General features: G+C 42.0%; 1 protein-coding gene across 8 annotated transcripts in view, besides 1 other annotated feature; it reads left to right on the plus strand.

Moving 5' to 3' along the window:
* BCAS3 (BCAS3 microtubule associated cell migration factor) overlaps positions 1-22,210 on the plus strand; it is a 714,981-nt gene that overhangs the window by 24,071 nt on the left and 668,700 nt on the right. For all 8 annotated transcript variants that reach the window (NM_001353144.2, NM_001353145.2, NM_001330413.2 and 5 more), the window contains exon 5: positions 7,298-7,404. In NM_001353144.2, the coding sequence (NP_001340073.1) occupies positions 7,298-7,404 (107 nt within the window). The remainder of the gene's footprint in view (positions 1-7,297; positions 7,405-22,210) is intronic.
* Positions 5,036-5,226: a silencer, noted in NCBI's record as "fragment chr17:58784318-58784508 (GRCh37/hg19 assembly coordinates)". NCBI's record gives its function as "represses an EF-1alpha promoter that drives an FKBP-Casp9 reporter gene in an ReSE screen in K562 erythroleukemia cells {active_cell/tissue: K562}" and the evidence as "EXISTENCE:reporter gene assay evidence [ECO:0000049][PMID:32094911]".

Below are 22,210 nucleotides of genomic sequence, written 5' to 3' on the forward strand. Positions count from 1 at the left end.
CAAGATTGTGCCAGTGCACTCCAGCCTGGGTGACAGAGTGAGACTCTGTGTCAAAAAAATAAAAAAAGAAAGAAAAGTATGTCTCTCTCTCTCTATGTATATATGTATGTATAGATACACACACACACACAAATCTATTATAAAAAGTTAAGATTTATCAAAATGTACACACACACTTAACAGACAGTACATGGTGCCATCTGTAATCATGTAAACGTATAGATGTAGTTGAATTGAATGCAATTGAATTTTAACTGCATAAAATTACCTGTAGTACATACTGTACTACTGTAATAATTTTGTAGTGACCTCCTGCCGCTGTTGCAGGGAGCTCAAGAATTGCGAGTATTCGCTTAAAATCATCTCTGGTGAGCAGTTTATCTTTCTAGTAAATTGCTGTGTCAAAGTAAAAAGTGATCTCTTTAGATTCTCACCTATTTTGCATCATGTTAATTGTAAAACTATAAACCTTGAATACCACGATGGGACCCATATGAAGTGCCCACTAGTGATGCTGGAGATTCTCCCAAGAATCAGAGAGAAGTCATGACATCATGATAAAAAGTTGAATTGATTGATATGTACTGTAGATTGAAGTCTGCAGCTGTGATTGCCCACCATTTCAAGGTAAAGGAATCTGGCCTAAGGACTATTGTTAAAAAAGAAAAGGAATTTTTTTTTTCTTTGAGACAGCGTCTTCCTCTGTCACCTAGGCTGGAGTGCAGTGGTACAGTCTCAGCTCAGTGCAGCCTCCACCTCTGGGGCTCAAGCAATCTTCCCACCTCAGCCTCCGAAGTAACTGGGACTGTAGGCGTGTGCCACAGCGCCTGGCTAATTTTTGTATTTTTTTGTAGAGATGGGGTTTTGCCATGTTGCCCAGGCTGGTCTCAAACTCCTGAGCTCAAGTGATCCGCCCACCTTCATCTCCCAAAGTGCTGAGATTACAGGCGTGAGCCACCATGCTCAGTCCAAGGAAAGGAAATTCTTGATGCTGTCATTGCAGTGACACCAGCAGGCACCAAAACCTTGCACATTTTGCTTAATACTTTTTTATCTCATATTGAAAATGCAGGCTGGGCGCGGTGGCTCATGGCTGTAATCCCAGCACTTTGGGAGGCCAAGGTGGGTGGATCACCTGAGGCCAGGAGTTTGAGACCAGCCTGGCCAACATGGTGAAACACCGTCTATACTAAAAATACAAAAATTAGCTGGGTGTTGTGGCAGGTGCCTCTAATCCCAGCTACTTGGGAGGCTGAGGCAGGAGAATCATTTGAACCCGGGAGGTGGAGGTTGCAGTGAGCTGAGATCGTGCCACTGCACTCCAGCCTGAGCGACAGAGTGAGACTCTGTCTCAAAAAACAGAAAAAAAGAAAATGCAGCTTTTAGGCCAGGCGCGGTGGCTCACCCTTGTAATCCCAGCACTTTGGGAGACTGAGGCGGGCAGATCACTTGAGCTCAGGAGTTCAAGACTAGTCTGGGCAACATGGCAAAACCCCGTCTTTATGAAAATTAGCTGAATGTGGTGGCGTATGCTTGTATTCCCAGGCAGGAGATCGCTTGAGCTTGGGAGGCAGAGGTTGCAGTGAGCTGAGATAGCACATTGCACTTCAGCCTGGGCAATGGGAGTGAAACCTTGTCTCAAAAAAAAAAAATTAATTAAAATAAATGCAGCTTTTACATGGGTGCAGGATGCTGTAAGAAAGACTTACCTAGCCGGGCGCGGTGGCTCACGCCTGTAATCCCAGCACTTTGGGAGGCCGAGGCGGGTGGATCACGAGGTCAGGAGATCGAGACCATCCTGGCTAACATGGTGAAACCCCGTTTCTACTAAAAATACAAAAAATTAGCCGGGCGCGGTGGTGGGCGCCTGTAGTCCCAGCTACTCGGGAGGCTGAGGCAGGAGAATGGCGTGAACCCGAGAGGCGGAGCTTGTAGTGAGCCGAGATCATGCCGCTGCACTCCAGCCGCCTGGGCAACGAAGACAGACACCGTCTCAAAAAAAAAAAAGAAAAAAAGAAAAAAAAAAGAAAGACTTACTATAGACTCTAATATGATTTGAGAAAAAGCGAAGTCATTATATGACAACTTAAAGCAAAAGGAAGGTGAAAAATCTAAAACTGGAGAATTTAATGCCAGAAAAGGGTGGTTTGATAATTGTAGAAAGAAGTTTGGTTTAAAAAATGTCAAGATAAAAAGAAGCAACTTCTGCCGACCAAGAGGCAGCAGGGGAGTTCCCAGATACCATTAAGAAAATCATTGAGGAGAAAGGTTATCTGCCTGAACGAGTTTTTTAATGCTGAGAGAAGTGCCCTATTCTGGGAAAAAAATGCCACAAAAGACATTTATTAGTAAGGAAGAGAAGTGCACACCCGGAATTAACGCCAGGAAGGGATAGACTAACTCTATTGTTTTGTGCAAATACAGTCAAGTTTATAATCAGGACTGTCCTTATCTATAATGCTGCTAACCCCTGAGCCTTGGAGGGAAAAGATAAACAGCAGCTGCTAGTCTTTTCATTGTATAACAAGAAGACCTAGACAGTGGGAACCCTTTTTCTGGATTGACTCCATTGATGCTTGTTCCCAAAGTCAGGAAGTACCTGGCCAGTAAGAGACTGCCTTTTAAAGTTTTTTTTGAGGCTGGGTGCAGTGCTTCACGCCTGTAATCCCAGCACTTTGGGGGGCCGAGGTGGGTGGATCACTTGAGGTCAGGAGTTCGAGACCAGCCTGGCCAACATGGTGATACCCCATCTCTACTAGTACAAAAATTAGCCGGGCATGGTGGTGCGTGCCTATAATCCCAGCTACTCAGGAGGCTGAGGCAGGAGAATCGCTTGGACCAGGGAGGCAGAGGTTACAGTTAGCTGAGATTGTGCCACTGCACTCCAGCCTGGGAGACAGAGTGAGACTCAGTCTCAAAAAAAAAAAAAAGTTTTATTGATATTGCACAGTGCCCATGGCCACCAGAAATGTCATGAATTCAACCCCAAAAGTATGGAAGTGGTCTACTTGCCCCCAGACACGGTGTCTCTATCTTGTTGTTGGGCCTCTAGATCAAAGGGCCACATGGACCTTTTAAGGCTCACCACACATGATACTCTATGGAAAGGATTGTCAACTCTGTGAAAGAGAACCCTGATAGAACATCAGGAAAGTGTGGAAGGATCACACCATTGAAGGTGCCATCAATGTTACAGAAATAACCATGAAAGTCAGCAAGCTTGAAACAATAAATTCCTGCTGGGGAAAACTGTCCAAATGTTTTGCATGACTTACAGGATTTACGATAGATACCATCAAGAAAGTCATGAAAGAGGGCCGGGCATGGTGGCTCATCCCTGTAATCCCAGCACTTTGGGAGACCCAGGACGGCAGATCACCTTAGGTCAGGAGTTCGAGACCAGCCTGGCCAACATGGCGAAACCCTGTCTCTACTAAAAATACAAAAATTATCCAGATGTGGTGGCGCCTGTAATCCCAGCTACTTGGGAGGCTGAGGCATGAGAATCGCTTGAGCCTGGGAGGCGGAGTTTCAGTGAGCTGAGATCATGCCACTGTATTCCAGCTTGGGTGACAGAGTGAGACTTGTCTCAAAAAAAAAAAAAAAAAAGAAAAGAAAATCATGAAAGAAGTTGTAGATATGGCAAAAAAGATGAGATGTGAAGCATTTCAAGATATCTGTTTTGGAGAAATTCAAGAACTAAGACACCACACCAGAGAAGTTAAGAGAAGACAGCTTGATGGAGCTCAGTGCTTCCAAACCAGTGCCAGATGATGAGGAAGAAGATGTAGAGGAAACAGTGCCAGAAGACTGATGTTAGACAGTCTGCCAGAAAGCTTCCAATTATTTAAGACTGCTTTTGGCTTCTTTTAGACATAGATCTTTCTATAATACTGGCACTGAAATGAAAGCAAATGATGGAAGAAGGATTGGTACTGTATAGAAACATTTTTAGAGAAATTTGCAAAAATGTCAGAGAGGAAGTACAGTATATTTCCATAAAGTTATACTGAGTGTGCCTGCCTCTATTGCCCTCCCTTCCACCTCCTCCATCTCCTCTGCCTCTGTTACCCCTGAGGGAGATGACCGACCCCTCCTGTTCTTCCTCTTCCTCAGCCTACTCACTGTGAAGACAAGGATGAAGACTTTTTTTTTATGGAGATGGAGTTTCGCTGTTGTTGCCCAGGCTGGAGTGCAGTGGTGTGATCTCGGCTCACTGTAACCTCCACCTCTTGGGTTCAAGCAATTCTTCTGCTTCAGCCTCCCGAGTAGCTGGGATTACAGGCACCCACCACCACGCCCGGCTAATTTTTTGTATTTTTAGTAGAGATGGGGTTTCACCATGCTGGCCAGGCTGGTCTGGAACTCCTGAACTCAGGTGATCTACCCTCCTCAGCCTCCTAAAGTGCTGGGATTACAGGCCTGAGCTACCGCACCCAGCAGGATGCAGACTTTTTTTGATGATCCACTTCCATTAATGGATATTTTCTCTTCTGTATATTCGAAGAATACAGTATATAAAACATATACAAAATATATGTTAATTGACTTTATTTTAACAGTAAGCCTTCTGGCCAGCAGTAAGCTATTAGCAGTTAAGTTTTTGGGTGAGTCAAAAGTTATACATGGTGGCTCATGCCTTTATTCCCTCCCAGCAATTTGGAAGGCCGAGGCGGATGGATCTCTTGAGGCCAGGCACTCAAGACCAGCTGGGACAACATGACAAAACCCCATCTCTACTAAATATACAAAAATTAGCCAGGCGTGGTGGAGACTACAGTGAGCTGAGATTGTGCCACTGTATTCCAGCCTGGACAACAGAGCAAGACTCTGTCTCAAAAAACAAAACAAAACAAAACAACCCCAAAAACTTACACTATACTTTTTTTTTTTTTTTTTTTTGGTGGAGACAGGGTCTCACTCTGTCACCCAGGCTGGAGTGGAGTGCAGTGGTATGATCACACCATACTGCATCCTTGACCTCCCGGGCTCAAGCTATCTTCCCATTTCAGTCTCCCCAGCAACTGAGACTGCAGGTGCTTTTCACCAAGCCCAGCTAATTTTTGTATTATTATTATTATTTTTTTGAGACAGAGTTTTGCTCTTGTTGCCCAGGCTGGAGTGCAATGGCTTGATCTCGGCTTACCTCAACCTCTGCCTCCTGGGTTCAAGCCATTCTCCTGCTGCAGCCTCCCGTGTAGCTGGGATTACAGGCATACGCACCACCATGCCCGGCTAATTTTGTATTCTCAGTAGAGACCGGGTTTCTCCATGTTGGTCAGGCTGGTCTCGAATTCCCGACCTCAGGTGATCTGCCTGTCTCCGCCTCCCAAAGTGCTGGGATTACAGGTGTGAGCCACCACGCCCGGCCAATTTTTGTATTTTTTGTAGAGATGGGGTTTCGCCATGTTGCCCAGGCTGGTCTCAGACTCCTGGGCTCAAGCGGTATGCCCACCTTGGCCTCCCAAAGTGCCGGGATTACTCAGTCTATACGTGGATTTTGACTGCATTGGGGGATGGGGGGTACTTAGCACCCCTACCCTCCACATTGTTCAAGGGTCAAGTGTACTTTTCCCCTTCCAATCTTTACATCATTTATTTTTCTTTCCTAATTGCACTGTCTAGGGCCTCTAGTACAGTGTTGAATATAAGTTTTAAGTTTAGGCATCTTTGTCTTGTTCTGCCTCATAGGGAGGAAGCATTCAGTCTTTTACCATAAATATGGTGTTAGCTTAGTATTTTCATAGACATCCTTTATTCTTGATTTGCTGAGTTTTTAAAAATAAAATAACTATTGCATTTTAGCAAATGCTTTTTTAACATATATTGAAATGATCATATGATTTTTTGCCTTTATTCTGTTAATGTTGGCAAATGATAATTGATTTTTCCGATGTTAAACCATCTTACATTTGTGGGATAAACCCTATATTTTAGTGATTGATTATCCTTTCTATATTGTGGGATTCAATTTGCTAGTCTTTGTAAAGTATTTTTATATATACATTCATGAGGTGGATTGATTTATAGTTTTCTTGTAATTTCTTAGTCTGGTTTTGGTTGCCTCAGAACGATTTGGTGCTTATTCCCTTCTCTTCTGTTTTTTAGAAAAGTGTGTAAGGCCGGAAGTGATGGCTTATACCTGCAATCCCAGCACTTTGGGAAGCCGAGGCAGGTGGATTGCTTGAGCTCAGGAGTTTGAGACCAGCCTGGCAACATGGCGAAACCCTGTCTCTACAAACATTTACAAAAAATTAGCTGGGCATTATGGCATATGCCCGTAGTCCCAGCTGCTTGGGAGGCTGAGGTGGGAGGATCACCTGAGCATAGAAGGTTGAGGCTGCAGTGAGCTATGATGGCACCACTGTACTCCAGCCTGGATGAAGGAGTGAGATTCTGTCTCAAAAAAAAAAAAAAAAAAAGTTTGTGGAGAATTGATGTTATTATTATTTTTAGAGCCAGGGCCTTACTCTGTCACCCAAGCTGGAGTACAGTGGTGCCATCATAGCTCACCACAGCCTTGAATTATTTTGCTTAAAGGCTCCTTCCACTTCAGTCTCCAGAGTATCTAGTACTGTAAGTGTGTGCCACCAAGCCCAGCTAATAATAATAATAATTACTATTTTCGAGACGGAGTCTTGCTGTGTCACCCAGGCTAGAGTGCAGTGGTGCAATCTTGGCTCACTGCAACCTCTGCCTCCTGGGTTCAAGAGATTCTTGTGCCTCAGCCTCCCCATTAGCTGGGATTACAGGTGCGGCACCACACCCGACTAATTTTTGTAGTTTTTAGTGGAGATGGGGTTTCACCACATTGGCCAGGTTGGTCTTGAACTCCTGACCTCATGATCTGCCTGCCCCAGCCTCCCAAAGTGCTGGGATCACAGATGTGAGCCACCGGGCCCAGCCTATTTATTTGAAATAGAGACAGGATCTTGCTGTGTTGCCTAGGCTGGTCTTGAACTCCTGGCCTCAGGTGATCCTTCTACTTCGTCCTCTCAAAATACTGGGATTATAGGTGTAAGCCACCATGCCCAGCCCTGTTTTTTTTTCCTTAAATGTTTGATATTATTTAAATGGTGTGGCTAGAAGCTATGTTGAAATGGGCCAAGGAATGACAGATATATAAGGAAATAGATAGCCAGGATGGACAACTTTGAGAATTCTGGCTATGAAGAGAAGAGAGGATGGTTGCTAGACAGGTGTAAAGATTGAATCAGGCATTAAAGAAATACAGTTGTTTTCTTGATTGCCATTATGTCTTTTAAATTTGCTTCTTTGTTACTTAATTCTAATGCAGATACATCAAGAAATCTGGAATTTCATGAAATACATAGTACTGGGAATGAACCGCCTTTGTTGATTATGATTGGCTACAGTGATGGAATGCAGGTCTGGAGCATCCCTGTAAGTACACATGTGGTTGAATACCTAAAACATACTTCCCAGCATGTTAGCTTATGTGAAATCTGTAGATACTTTTTTTTTTTGAGACAGAGTCTCACTCTTCGCCCAGGCTGGAATGCAGTGGTGCGATCTCGGCTCACTGCAACCTCTGCCTCCCAGCTTCAAGCGATTCTCCTGCCTCAACCTCCCGAGTAGCTGAGATTACAGGCATGTGTCACCACACCCAGGTAATTTTTGTACTTTTAGTAGAGATGGGTTTTGCCATGTTGGCCAGGCTGGTCTCAAACTCCTGACCTCAGGTGATCCATCTGCCTCAGCCTCCCAAAGTGTTGGGATTACAGGCGTGAGCCACTGCACCCAGCATATGTCTGTGTATCTTTATAGGATAAATTCCTTTCAATGGAGTTACTGAGTCAAAGGCTAAGTGCATTTGTAATTTTGATATATGTTTTACATTGCATAATATTGGTCTTATTTTGCATTTGGACTCCTACATGTGCCTTTTTTGGGTGACCAAACATAAAATGTCCTAAATGAAGAAGAGGCATGGGAGCAGTGCATTTGTTGAGATGTAGTAAATACTGCATATTTTGGCTTATTTCACTTATATTTCATTATTTGGCATAATCTAAATAATTATCTTCCAGTAGATGAGTGGGCTTATTATTTTTAATTGAGATGGGGTCTGGCTGTATTGCTCAGGATGGTCTTGAAGTCCTGGACTAAAGCAGTCCTCCCACCTTGGCCTCCCAAAATGCTGGGATTACAGGCATGAGCCACTGCACCCAGCTGAGATGACAGGACTTCTGTTGTGTGATTCTTTTGCAGTCGGAGGCTCTGGGCCAGTAGAAGTTGAATTTATACCTTTAATAATTGTATTCAGGAAACTTGTTTGAAGCCCCATGAGTATGTGTGTATGTGTGTTTCAGCCAGAATTTTTTTCTCTTTTTCTTTTGGGTGATATTGTTGCTCCTTGAATGATGTATAAGCAAACATGTATTACCTCAGATTTAATGGAAGTCAGGATATTCTCAAGTACAGAATTTGACCTCAGTAGTCTAAGAATTACTAAGGAACAAGCACATTCACCTTTCAATTCTTTAACATTTTTTTTTTTTTTTTTTGAGACAGAGTTTCACTCTGTTGCCCAGGCTGGAGTGCAGTGGCGCAATCTCGGCTCACTGCAAGCTCTGCCTCCCGGGTTAACGCCATTCTCCTGCCTCAGCCTCTCAAGTAGCTGGGACTATAGGCGCCCGCCACCACGCCTGGCTAATTTTTTGTATTTTTAGTACAGATGGGGTTTCACCACGTTAGCCAGGATGATCTTGATCTGCTGACCTCGTGATCCGCCCGCCTTGGCCTCCCAAAGTGCTGGGATTACAGGTGTGAGCCACCATGCCTGGCCAACATTTTTTAAGTTAAAAAAATGTTTATTTTTTGATAAGTCACTTCTGATGAAGTTTGGTGTTCCATTCTGTTCTTTTTTTTTTTTTTTGAGACAGGGTCTCACTTTGTCACCCAGGCTCGAGGGCAGTGGCATGATTGTAATTCACTCTATCCTCCACCTCCTGGACTCAAGCGATCCTCCCACATCAGCCTCTGGAGTAGCTGGGACTACAGGCACGTGCCACCACACCCAGTTAATTTTTAACACTTTAATGGAGACAGGGTCCTACTGTGTTGCCCAGGCTGGTCTCGAACTCCTGGGCTCCAGTGATCCTCCTACTTGGCCTCCTAAAGTGTGGGCATTACAGGCATGAGCCACTGTGCCTGGCCAATTCTATTCTTATAATTATCATATTATTAAGTATCTAAGATGTGGGATTTTTTTTTTTTTTTTAACTTGGCTTTACTTTGCGGAGATAGAAGAATCGTGCTGGTATGTCATGAAATTAGAAGTATTCTTTTTCTTTTGACTTTTGGGAAGTGTAGTTGACATTTTTCAAGGTCCCTCAATGTTCTTTGTAATTTTGGTATTGTTCCAAAGGCGTGGAGAAAGTACTTAAAATTTGGCAGTGTTTTTTTTTCTTACGGAGAGAAATATTTCTAGGTTGTGATAAAACAAAAGGGTTTTGTAAATGTAACTTTTTCTTATTAATAGAGACTACATTTTGCTTCATTATGCTGTTTGTTGACAGTACTGAAGACAGAGGAAGTTATACCTTTAACAAGAGGGTTGAGCCTGTGTGATTAGGGGTGTTGACTGGATTGAACACATTCCTTTGGTGGTATTCAGGTTGTTTTAACTGCCCACTTGTTTTGGTTATAATTGGGGATATTAATTTTAATAGTTTAAAGTTAATTTCTGTTTATCTTTGAGTAATTAAGGTCTTTATTTCTCCTTATGCCTAGATTATATTTTGAGAGACTTGAATAATTTTTTTTTTGATAGAATTTTCTTTGGCCAAGTGTATATTGTTGTAGTACCACTATTTCATGAATTAGGGCCTGGTGTAGAGGCTGACGCTTGTAATCCCAGCACTTTGGGAGGCTGAGGCAGGAGGATCACTTGAGGTCAGCAGTTTGAGACTAACCTGGGCAGCACAGTGAGACCAGCCGGGTGCGGTGGCTCATGCCTGTAATCCCAGTACTTTGGGAGGCCAAGGCAGGCAGATCATTTGAGGTCAGGAATTCGAGACCAGCCTGACCAACATGGTGAAACCCCATCTCTACTAAAAATAAAAAAAAAATTAGCCGGGCATGATGGCACATGTCTGTAGTCCCAGCTACTCTGGAGGCTGAGGCAGGAGAATCGCTTGAACCCGGGAGGCGGTGGTTACAGTGAGCCAAGATTGCGCCACTGCACTCCAGCCTGGGTGACAGAGTGAGACTCTGTCTCAAAACAAAAACAAAAACAAAAACACATAGTGAGACCTTGTCTCTACAAAAAATTTTTAAAAATTAACCAGGCGTAGTGGCATGCGCCTGTGGTTCCAGCTACTCGGGAGGATGAGGCAGGGGGATTGCCTGAGCCTGGGAAGTTGAGGCTGCAGTGAGCCATGATTATGCCACTGCACTCCAGCCTGGGTGACAGAGTGAGATCTTGTCTTGGGAAGGAAAAAAAAAAAAGACAATCTGGGAAAATAAGCTTCTTATATTTCATTGAGCTCTCATTATGGTCAAAGAGGTTTATATACATATTATCTCATCTAATGTAGAAGTTACCTTGTTTTACAGGTGGTAAGGTCACACTGCTTTTAAGAGGTGGAACTAGAATTTAAACCTAGTTCTGTCTGAATTCAAATTCAAAGCCCATGATCTAAGAGCTATACTTCATCACTTTTCAAATGTGATTGCTAAAGATATGACATGTGAGTAGTTTTGTAGTTAAGGTTTAGTTTTTGTAGAGGTGAAGGGAATTATCCCCTCTCCCTCTGAAATAAATTGACAATAGACTAATGGGAGAAAAAGCATACACATGCATGAGAGCCACATAAAATATGAGACTCAAAGAAGGGCCAAATGGCTGAAGCTTACATAGTGCTCTCTTCATAGGGGAGAAGGAGATGGAGGAATGTCGTCAGTTTTGAGAGTTAGTAAATCATTCTCAGGAAAGTTGAATGGGCCCAAAGAGCAGAAAATTGTTTCTAAGTGATTCACTTGGGAAGTGGGACCTGAGCAGAGATGATAGCCTGTGACAAAGTCTGTCTAGGTGTGGTGTCATTTCTCGGTTTTCCATCCTGTAATTTGAGATTAATCTTCTCTGGTTGAAGAAATTTCAGAAAGGGGAGAGGGAGGCAATTGTGTTCCTTCTAGAAGAGCTTCAGGAAAGGGAACTTGAGAGAGTCCCTCCTTGTGCTTGTGAGGGAGAAGCAGGAGAACACCAGAAAGTCCTTGGTTCTGAGGACTTCTGAGGCCTTTTAATTTCCTTTAGCTCAAAATGCTCAGCATGCCAAAATGCCAGAATTTGGAATATCGTTTTCTGAGCCCCAGTGTTTTCATTTGTAAAAGATTAGTATGTACCTTCAAATACTCATAGTTATCTTTTACATTTTACTTTGTTAGCCATTACTCTGTCAGAACCCTTCTGAAACTTATAACCATTATTCATTACATGAGCATATATGCTAGACAGTGGGGAGCCTATGTTGGCCAACCTAGAAAAAAATGACTCTCATGGATCTTTATAGTCTGTAATTAATACGATTGGCCCTCTATATACGTGTGTTGCGCATCTGCAGATTCAACCAACTGTGGATTGAAAATATTTGGAATTAAAAAAAGGATGGTTGTGTCTGTACTGAACACGTATAGAGTTTTCTTTCTTGTCATTATTTCCTAAACAATGCAGTATAACAATTATTTACATAGCATTTACATTGTACTAGGTATTATAGGTAATTAAGAGATGACTTAAAGTATATGAGAGAATGTGTAAAGGTTATATGCAAATACTATGCCATTTTATGTAAAGGACTTGAGCATGATGGACTTTGGTATTCATGGGTGGTTTGTGGAACCAGTCAGCACAGATGCTGATGGACAATTGCATTTGCATTTGCTTTTTTTGTTTGTTGTTTGTTTTTGAGACTGAGTCTCACGCTGTTGCCCAGGCTGGAGTGCAGAGGGGTGATCTCGGCTCACTGCAACCTCTGCCTCCTGGGTTCAAGTGATTTTCATGTCTCAGCCTCCTGAGTAGCTGGAACTACAGGTGTGAGCCACCATGCCAGGCTAATTTTTGTATTTTTTTTAGTAGAGATGGGGTTTCACCATGTTGGCCAGGCTGGTTTCGAACTCCTGACCTCAAGTGATCTACCTGCCTTGGCCTCCCAAAGTGCTGGGATTACAGGCGTGAGCTACCGTGCCTGGCCTGCTTTTTAAAAATAGAGATGAAATCTCACTATGTCGCCCAGATTGGTCTTGAACTCCTGGCCTCAGGCAGTCCTCCTGCCGTGGCCTCCCAAACCACTGGGATTACAGATGTAAGCCATCATGCCTGGCCATATATTTGCTTTTGAGTAAGTGTAGGTGGGCAGAAAATCAACCCCTGTCCAAACCTTAGCTTAGTTTTTGCTTCTAGTATATGCTCAGGACTCCCTCTTGTTGAGTTTAATATAACTGTCCCGCGGTGGCTCATGTCTGTAATCCCAGCACTTTGGAGGCCAAGGCAAGCAAGTTACTTGAGGTCAAGAGTTTGAGACCATCCTAGCCAACATGGTGAAACTCCGTCTCTACTAAAAATACAAAAATGGTGGTGGCCACCTGTAATCCCAGCTACTTTGGAGGCTGAGGCAGGAGAATTGCTTGAACCCAGGAGGCGGAGGTTGCAGTGAGCTGAGATTGCACCACGGTACTCTTGCCTGGGTGACAGAGTGAGACTGTCTCATAAAGACAAAACTGTCCCACCTGGGAGTCTCAGGTTAAGAAAATAAGCATATCCTGGTTAAACATTTTAAAAAATTGTCTATTGAAGTGTGTAGATGTGAATGGAACTTAGATGATGTCTAGGAATATTATTAATTAGAGTCAGCTCAAAAGCAGAACTGTGCAGTAGTTTACTGCCCAATCTCTACTGCTTTGTACATGACACCAGCTTTCCTAGCTTTCCTGAGCTGTCAGAGCCCTTCTTTCAACACACCAGATGTAACATAGAATGATTGTTATGTGGGCGTTCCAGATAAACAACCCCTTTTCTCAACCATCCCTAACAATGTTATTGACTCTTTTTTGGTGAGGTAAATATAGGCTTTCTTGCTTAAAATTCTTAATTAAAAAAATCAAAATTATCTTTGTATATATTTTAAAAACCAAATAGTTTCGTGAGATTCAAATATGAAACAAATGAAGTTCTGTACTCTTTCTCTTTCTTTTTTTTTTTTTTTTTTTGAGACAGAGTCTTGCTCTGTGGCTCAGACTGGAGTGCAGTGGCATGATCCTGGCTCACTGCAGCCTCCACCTCTGGGGTTCAAGTAGTTCTCCTGCCTCAGCCTCCCAAGTAACTGGGATTACAGGTGTGCGCCACCACACTCGGCTAATTGTTTTGTAATTTTTAGTAGAGACGGGGTTTCACCATGTTGGCCAGGCTGGTTTCAAACTCCTGACTTCAAGTGATCTGCCTGCCTAGACCTCCCAACGTGTATACTCTTTCTTTCATCACTCTTTCAAATCTACTAGTTATTGTCATTTTAGTATTTATTTCAATTATTTCAAAATATCATACTTCTTATTTATTTTTTATTTTGAGATGGAGTCTCTCTGTGACACTCAGGCTAGAGTGCAGTAGCGCAATCTCAGCTCACTGCAACCTCCGCCTCCTGGGTTCAAGCAATTCTCCTGCCTCAGCCTCATGAGTAGCTGGGATTACAGGTGCACGCCCCATGTCCGGTTAATTTTTGTATTTTTAGTAGAGATGGGGTTTCACCATATTGGCCAGTCTTGAACTCCTAACCTCAAGTGATCTGCCTGCCTCAGCCTCCCAAAGTGCTGGGATTACAGGTGTGAGCCACCACACCCCACCTCAAAATATCATACTTCTTGAAGTTTTTTTTCTCCCAGTGTTAAGATTGATTGGTGCCATGAACTATGAAGTTATTTTTTATTTTATTTTATTTTTTTGAGATGGAGTCTTGCTCTGTCACCCAGGCTGGAGTGCAGTGGTGTGATCTCGGCTCACTGCAGCCTCTGCCTCCCAGTTTCAAGCAGTTCTCCTGCCTCAGCCTCCTGAGTAGCTTGAATTACGGGCATGCGCCACCACACCCAGCTAATTTTTATATTTTTAGTAGAGACGGGGTTTCACCATGTTGGTCAAGCTGGTCTCGAGCTCCTGACCTTGTGCTGTGCCCGCCTCGGCCTCCCAAAGTGCTGGGATTACAGGCGTGAGCCACCGCGCACAGCCACGAACTATGAAGATTTAAACGGTGTTCATTTATTCAGCACATGTCTGGGATATACAGGGGTAAGCACAATAGATGTGGTCTTTGCTGTCATGGAGCTAGTAGGAGAGAGAGATTTAAATAAAAATAAATGGATATACAACTTAAGTTGTAATATGAAAAAAAGCATGACATGTTAGGACAAGGAAGTGACATATAAGCTAAAAAATACTTAGGGTAAGACTGGAACAATAAACACTAAACAGAGGCTCTGAGATGAAAGCATTCTTTTCTCCATAGTTAGAAATTGATTTAGATTTCTTAAATTTTTTCTCTTTAAAGAGCATTGTAGCTGGGCATGGTGGCTCACGCCTATACTCCCAACACTTTGGGAGGCTGAGGGTGGTGTATCGCTTGAGGCCAGGAGTTTAAGAGCAGCTTGGGTGAGACCCCATCTCACCAAAACCACAAAAATTAGGGCTGAAACAGGGGGATCAGTTGAACCTAGGAGGTCAAGGCTGCAGTGACCTGTGCACCACTGCACGCCAGCCTGGGTGACAGAGCAAGACCCTCTCAAAAAAAAAAAAATAATAATAATATTGAGATAAATATCTTTATGGTCATATAATTTGGAGAGATCAATAAAAGTAAGGCTCCTAATAGATTTTCCAAATTACATTCTTTTCCAGCCATGTCAGTTATACTTACCCCATATATTTATTAATTCTTTCACTCAGCAAAGATTTATTAATTGTCTATTACATGCCAGACTGTGTTGAAGGTGCTGGGACAACACTGAACAAAACAAAGTCATTCTCTTTGTGGAATTTCCATTCTGGTAGGTGGGGAAGATAGATAATAAATATGTATCATGTTAGATGGTGATAGATAGGGTGGTTGTTGTTGCTGTGGGTTGCTCTTTTATATACGATGGTCTGGGAAAGCCTCTCAAAGACCCAGTGACATAGTGGTGTGAAGTTATCCATATGGGTATTTGAGGGAGGAACACTCCAAGCCAGTACAAACATTCTGAGGTGCAGAATATGTTTCTTTCTTTTTCTTTTCTTCTTCTTCTTCTTCTTTTTTTTTTTTTTGTGAGACAGAGTCTCTCTGTGTCACCCAGGCTGGAGTGCAGTGGCGTGGTTTTGGCTCACTGCAACCTCCACCTCCCAGGTTCAAGCGATTCTCCTGCCTCAGCCTCCCTAGTAGCTGGGACTACAGGGATGCGCCACCACGCCTGGGTACTTTTTGTATTTTTAGTAGAGACGGGGTTTCGCCATGTTGTCCAGGCTGGTCTTGAACCCCTGACCTCAAGTGATCTGCCTTCCCGGGCCTCCCAAAGTGCTGGGATTACAGGCGTGAGCCACCATGCCCGGCAGAATATGTTTCTTATATTTAAGAACAGCAAGGAGGCAGTTTAGCTGGAGTTAGGAGAGCAAAGCAAAGAATAAGAGATTATGTCCAAGAGTTAGCAGTTGGCTAGGGCTTTGTTTTCGCCCTTGTAAGGACATCTAAAATTTCAAATATACAGCAAAGTTGGACTTTTACGGTGAAATTACTTATACCCGCCATCTAGAGCAGCAGTCCCCAACCTTTTTGGCACCAGGGACCGGTTTTGTGGAAGACAGTTTTTCCACAGGGTGGGGATAGTTTCAGTATGATTCAAGCACAGTAAATTTATTGTTCACTTTACTTCTATTATAATTGCATTGTAATATATAATGAAATAATTATACAACTCACCATAATGTAGAATCAGTGGGAGCCCTGAGCTTGCTTTCCCACAGCTAGATGGTCCCATGTGTGGGTGATGGGAAACAGTGACAGATCATCAGACATTAGATTCTCATAAGGAGCACACAATCTAGACACTTCACATGCGCGGTTCACGTTAGGGTTCGCGCGCCTATGATAATCTAATGCTGCTGCTGACCTGACAAGAGGCAGAGCTTAGGCAGTAATGTGCGCGATGGAGAGCAGCTGTAAATACAGTTGAAGCTTCGCTTTTGCTTGCCTGCTTCTCACCTCCTGCTGTGAGGCCTGGTTTGTAACCAGTACCTGGCCCAGGGATTGGGGGACCCCTCAACTAGAATATACCCTTAAAATTTTACTATACTTTTTTTTTTCCAGTTTTTTTTTCAGGCAACCCTCAGAACCAGAAGGGGTTCATACAGCTGCCTACTGTACTTTGTCTCACATCCATCTTATTCATTGCATTTCAGAGGAAATGCAAACATCAACATGCTTTCCCCTAACTACTTTTGCATGCATATAATTAACTAGAGTTCAATATTTGGTTAGTTTTTAAATTTTTTTAGACAGAGTCTTGCTCTGTTGCCCAGGCTGGAGGGCAGTGATGCTATCTTTGCTCACTGCAGCCTCTACCTCATGGGTTCAGTTGATTCTCATGCCTCAGCCTCCTGAGTAGTTGGGATTACTGGCACATGCCACCATGCCTGGCGAATTTTTGTGATCTTTTAAATTTTAGCTATTTTGGTAGGTGATACCTTGAGGATTCATTTAGCATTACCATTTCCCTGATGACTAATAATGTGGAGTACTTTTTCATGTTTCTTGGCCATTTATATATATTTTAGCAATTATTTGTATAATTTTTTTGCCCATTAAAAAATTTAGTTGTAGGCTGGGTGCTGTGGCTCACGCCTGTAATCTCAGCACTTTGGGAGGCCGAGGTGGGCAGATCACGAGGCCAGGAGATCGAGACCATCCTGGCTAACATGGTGAAACGCAGTCTCTACTAAAAATACAAAAAAATTAGCCAGGCATGGTGACAGGTGCCTGTAGTCCCAGCTACTTGGGAGGCTGAAGCAGGAGAATGGCGTGATCCCAGGAAGCGGAGTTTGCAGTGAGCCAAGATCGCGCCATTGCACTCCAGCCTGGGCGACAGAGCGAGGCTCTGTCTCAAAAAAAACAAAAACAAACAAACAAAAAAACTTAGTTGTAGAAGCCATTGGAGGATTTTTGAATAGAGGTAATATCACTTTTAAAAATAAGAAAGGTATGTGAAGAGCAGATTTGGGTGGAAAGGTAGTGAGTTTGGTTTTAAATGTGTGAACCATAGACTGTTGCTGGTCCATAAACTGGTGATAGCGAATCGTTTGTTATTGGCAGCAAAAAGGTAAAGTGCAGAAAATGAGAGTAAGCCTTTCAAAACCTATAGTATTCGCCAGTGCACACTATCCAAACATATGTATATAGTTTACAGAAGTATCATTTGTGCCAACTTTTAGAAAAATCAAAAAATAATTCGTCTTTTATGACAAACAGTTTGAAAAACACTATCATCAAGACATCCAGTTGGAGAAGGAGTTTTTGATGAGTATGTTTAGACATGCAATCATGTATTATTTTATTTCACACAAATAACATTTCTGTGATTATTAACATTCATTTTAGCATTATACATTCTTTGTAGTCATGAGAATAAGATACAGAATTTTCAAGGAGGAGATTTGAATTGCAGGATGAGGAGTTGAACTTATTCTTTCAGCCATAATAATTTGGACTCGTTGAGAATCTTTTGGTAACATACATTCCAAAAGCTGTCTGTAATATTGATTTTGTGGTTGCAGTGGGATGAATAGCAGGAGAAAAGAAAAGGTTATAAGGCTAGTTAGGAGTGAATTTCAACACTGTCTAAATGTTAGATGTTGAGAGCCTGAACTAAGTTTGTTGTTGTGAGAGGATTACCAAAAACCATGGTAAGTGGTTAGACGTTTAGAAGAGAAGAAAGTTAAAGATGTTTCCAGAGTCTTGACCTGGGGACCAGTGCTGCTTAGTATGAAAGATGGCATCATTTTAGCAGAAATAGAATTTGATTATTAGACTTACACTATGTTAAAAATCATGTAAAGCAAAAATTGTATAGCATATTGTCTTATAAGTAATAAAGGGTTCTCACTTAAAGTTTCAGTGGTAAAAGTCTTCTGATATTTTCGCATACTTTTTGCTATCTGTTTAAATGGCAACTTAGTTTTCTTTTCTTTTCTTTTCTTTTTGAGACATAGTCTTGCTCTGTCACCCAGGCTGGAGTGCAGTGGTGCAATCACGGCTTCGCTTCCTGGGCTCAAGCGATTCCCTCACCTCAGCCTCCCGAGTAGCTGGGACCACAGGTGTGCACCACCATGCCCAACTGATTTTTGTATATATATATTTTTTTGTAGAGATGGGGTTTTGCCATCTTGCCCAGTCTGATCTTGAACTCTTGAGCTCAAGTGATCCTCCTGCCTTGGCCTCCCACAGTGCTGGGATTACAGGCATGAGCCACTGCGCCCAGCGTCTTATCTTCTTTTGAAATGCTTATTTTTTTCTTAAAAAATGGAGAATATATTTATTACATCACCTAAAATATGGCAGTTGTATTGTGTGAAACAGTATACAGTTGGCCCTGGATATCCATGGATTCTGAATACGTGCATTCAGTCAATATGGATAGAAAATATTTGGGAAAAAAGTAAAAAATAATTCAACAATAAAAAATAACACAAATAAAAATGACAGTATAGCTATTTACATAGCACATTGTATTAGGTATTGTAAGTAATTTAGAGATGATTTAAAGTATATAGGAGGATGTGCATAGGTTTTATATGCATAGGTTATGTGCAGATACCATGCCATTTTATAAAAGGGACTTAAGCATTGGAGGTTTTGGTGTCCACAGGGATTCTGGAACCAACCCCATGTGAATACAGAGAGATGACTGTATTTTCTTTTCAAAAGTTAGTATTTGTAGTGTTTTCTTGGAGCTGTGTATATGCGGTACTTCAATGACCTAACACTAGGTGTCGCTACCACATTGAGCTAAGAAAAGTGCGGCTGCTCCTTGAAAGGAAATTTTTGCCCTAAAGCTTTTTGTGTAGTTTTTATACACTAAAAGCTTTAGAGCAAATATGCAAGGGCATTCTTGAGGTAAATGCCAATTAGTCTACTATTTATTAGAGGTTGGGTGCCAATAGACCTTGCCATGTTAAGATTGTTAGCCAGGAAACAGTTTTTATGGGTTTCATTTGGGAGTAATATAAAGTTAGTGATTTGGGTACACTGGCAAGCAGAGAGAGGTTGAATATGGATGAAGTCCAGTGAAAAAAATTGCCTTTGTTGAGAATAGGACCTTATTTTGTTTGGTGCATTCTCTTCTTCCTGGAAAGAGAATAGGTGGATCCTTAGACTGTAGATACAGTGGGAGGACATTGGTTGTTATGGATGAATAAAAGCAGAAATGAAGAGTAATACTGAAGTAATTTCTGGAATTTAACCATATTGGTGGATTAAAATATCTTTTCCTGTAGTATGTTTCTTAAAGTATCACTCCAGAGAACTCTTGCATCTGAAACTTAATTTTTCCCTGTGTGCGAATAGTGGCGTGACTCTTGTTGATTTGACATAGGCAGTAGACATTACTGTGAGTTTGAAATTTATCATTGTAAGTTGGACTCTTTCTTACTTGAGATCTTTTTGATGATTTTCTACTCTAAAACAATATATTATTTGGACCTAAGCTGATTTATAAGTCTGTGGAATGCAATTTTTTTCTGATAAATGTTATTGAATATACATACAGTAAAATGCACAAATCTGAAGTGTACAGACTGAAAATATATATATATATAACCTTCTAACCATCATCCTGGATTAAGATCTAGAATATTTCCAGTACCTCAAAAGAATCCCTTGTGCCACTTCCTTGGCAGTACTACCCTCTTTCCACCTCCAAGTAACCATTATTCTGCTATTCTGACTTCTATCACCATAGATTCTTTTTTTCTATTCTTGAATGTCTAAGAAATATGGTCATAGATTTAAAAGGTATGCTCTTATGTTCTGGCTTGTCTCTTAACATTATGACTGTAAGATTTGTTTTTATGCTATTGTGTGTAACATTAATTTTGCTGTGTTGTATCTATCATATGAATACAATAAATTTTGAAAAATCCATTATATGACTGATAGACATTTTTGTTCCCAGTTTTTGAGTATTATTAATAAAGTTGCTCTGAAAATTCTTATATATGGTAATTTTTCATGGATGTAAACAAAAAATGGTAATTTTTGGTGTACGTAAACACTCATTTGTCTTGGGTGTTGACCTAGGCGTAGATTTATTGTGTCATAGGATAAGTACATGTTTACCTTCAGTAGGTACTGCCAAATAGTTTTCAAAAGTGTTTTTGCCAACTTTGTACTCTCACCAGAATTATGTGGAAGTTCTGTTTGTCCTGCATCCTCAGCAGCACTTGGTATTGTCAGTCTTTTTGATTTTGGCCATTCTGTTGCGGATGTGTTGATATCTTCTGTGAGGTTTTAAAAATGCTTTTTAGGGGGCTGGGTGCGGTGGCTCATGCCTGTAATCCCAGCACTTGGGGAGGCTGAGGTGGGTAGATCACGACGTCAAGAGATCAAGACCATCCTGGCCAACATGGTGAAACCCCGTCTCTATTAAAAATACAAAAAGTAGGCAGGCATGGTGGTGGGCACCTGTAGTCCCAGCTATTTTGGAGGCTGAGGCAGGAGAATCACTTGAACCTGGGAGGTGGAGGTTGCAGTGAGCCGAGATTGCGCCACTGCACTCCAGCCTGGTGACAGAGCGAGACTCTGTCTCAAAAAAAAAAAAAAAAATGCTTTTTAGGCTGGGCACAGTGGCTCATGCCTGTAATCCTGGCACTTTGGGAGGAGGTGGGAGGATCCTTTGAGATTAGAAGTTTGAGACCACCCTGGGCAACATAGACCCTGTCTTGACCAAAAATGTGGCATGTGCCTGTGGTTCCAGCAACTCAGGAGGTTGAGGGGAGAGGATCACTTGAGTCTAGGAGATCAAGGCTGTGGTGAGCTATGATCACGTTACTGCCCTCCAGCCTGGGCGACACAGGACACAGCAAGACCCTATTTCAAAAAATGCTTTTTATTTTGCAATAAATTTCAAACTTCCAGAAAATTTTATAATGTATATAAGGTATTCCTGTTACTCATTGTGGAGATTCACCAATTACGGATTTTGCCTTATTTGCTTTGTCATTCTTTCAGTCTCTGTATCTATGCATATATTTTCTGAACCATAATTTCCATAAATTATTATTATTATTTTTGAGATGGAGTCTTGCTCTGTTGCCCAGGCTGGAGTGCAGTGGCGTGATTTCGCCCACTGCAACCTCTGCCTCCCGAGTTCAAGCAATTCTTCTGCCTCAGCCTCCTGAGTAGCTGGGACTACAGGCATGCACCACCATGCCAAGGTAATTTTTTGTATTTTTAGTAGAGACGGGGTTTTGGCATGTTGGCCAGGCTCTTCTCAAACTCCTGGCCTCAAGTGATCCAGCCGCCTCGGCCTCCCAAAGTGCTAGGATTACAGACATGAGCCATTCATTGTGCCTTGCCTGTTTTCATAAATTATTTAGTATAATTTCCTACAAATAAATATATAGCCATAGCACTGTCATCAAGCCCAGGACATTTAAATTTGATGCAGTAGTATTGTGGAAACTATTGTTCATATTCAAATTTCATCCATTGTCCCAATAGTCTACTTTATAGCTATTGTTACTTTTTCACTTTCTTTCTTTTTTTTTTTTTTTTTTTTTTTTTGAGATGAAGTCTCGCTCTGTTGCCCAGGCTGGAGTGCAGTGGTGCGATCTCGGCTCATTGCAACCTCTGCCTCCCAGGTTCAAGTGATTCTCCTGCCTCAGCCTTCTGAGTAGCTAGGACTACAGGCACCCGCCACCATGCCTGGCCAATTTTTTTTGTATTTTTAGTAGAGACGGGGTTTCACCATATTGGCCAGGCTGGTCTTGAACTCCTGATCTTGTGATCCACCTGCCTTGGCCTCCCAAAGTGCTGAGATTACAGGCGTGAGCCACCGTGCCCGGCCTACTTTTTCACTTTCTTAAAATTTTCTTTTGATGAAAAAAATCTGGTTCCGATTTTTTATCTTTTACTCTATTATTATTTTTGTATCTTTGTTTACTCTAAGGACATGCAAA

Source organism: Homo sapiens, chromosome 17 (assembly GCF_000001405.40).
Source record: "Homo sapiens chromosome 17, GRCh38.p14 Primary Assembly".
NCBI classification, from domain to species: Eukaryota; Metazoa; Chordata; class Mammalia; order Primates; family Hominidae; genus Homo; species Homo sapiens.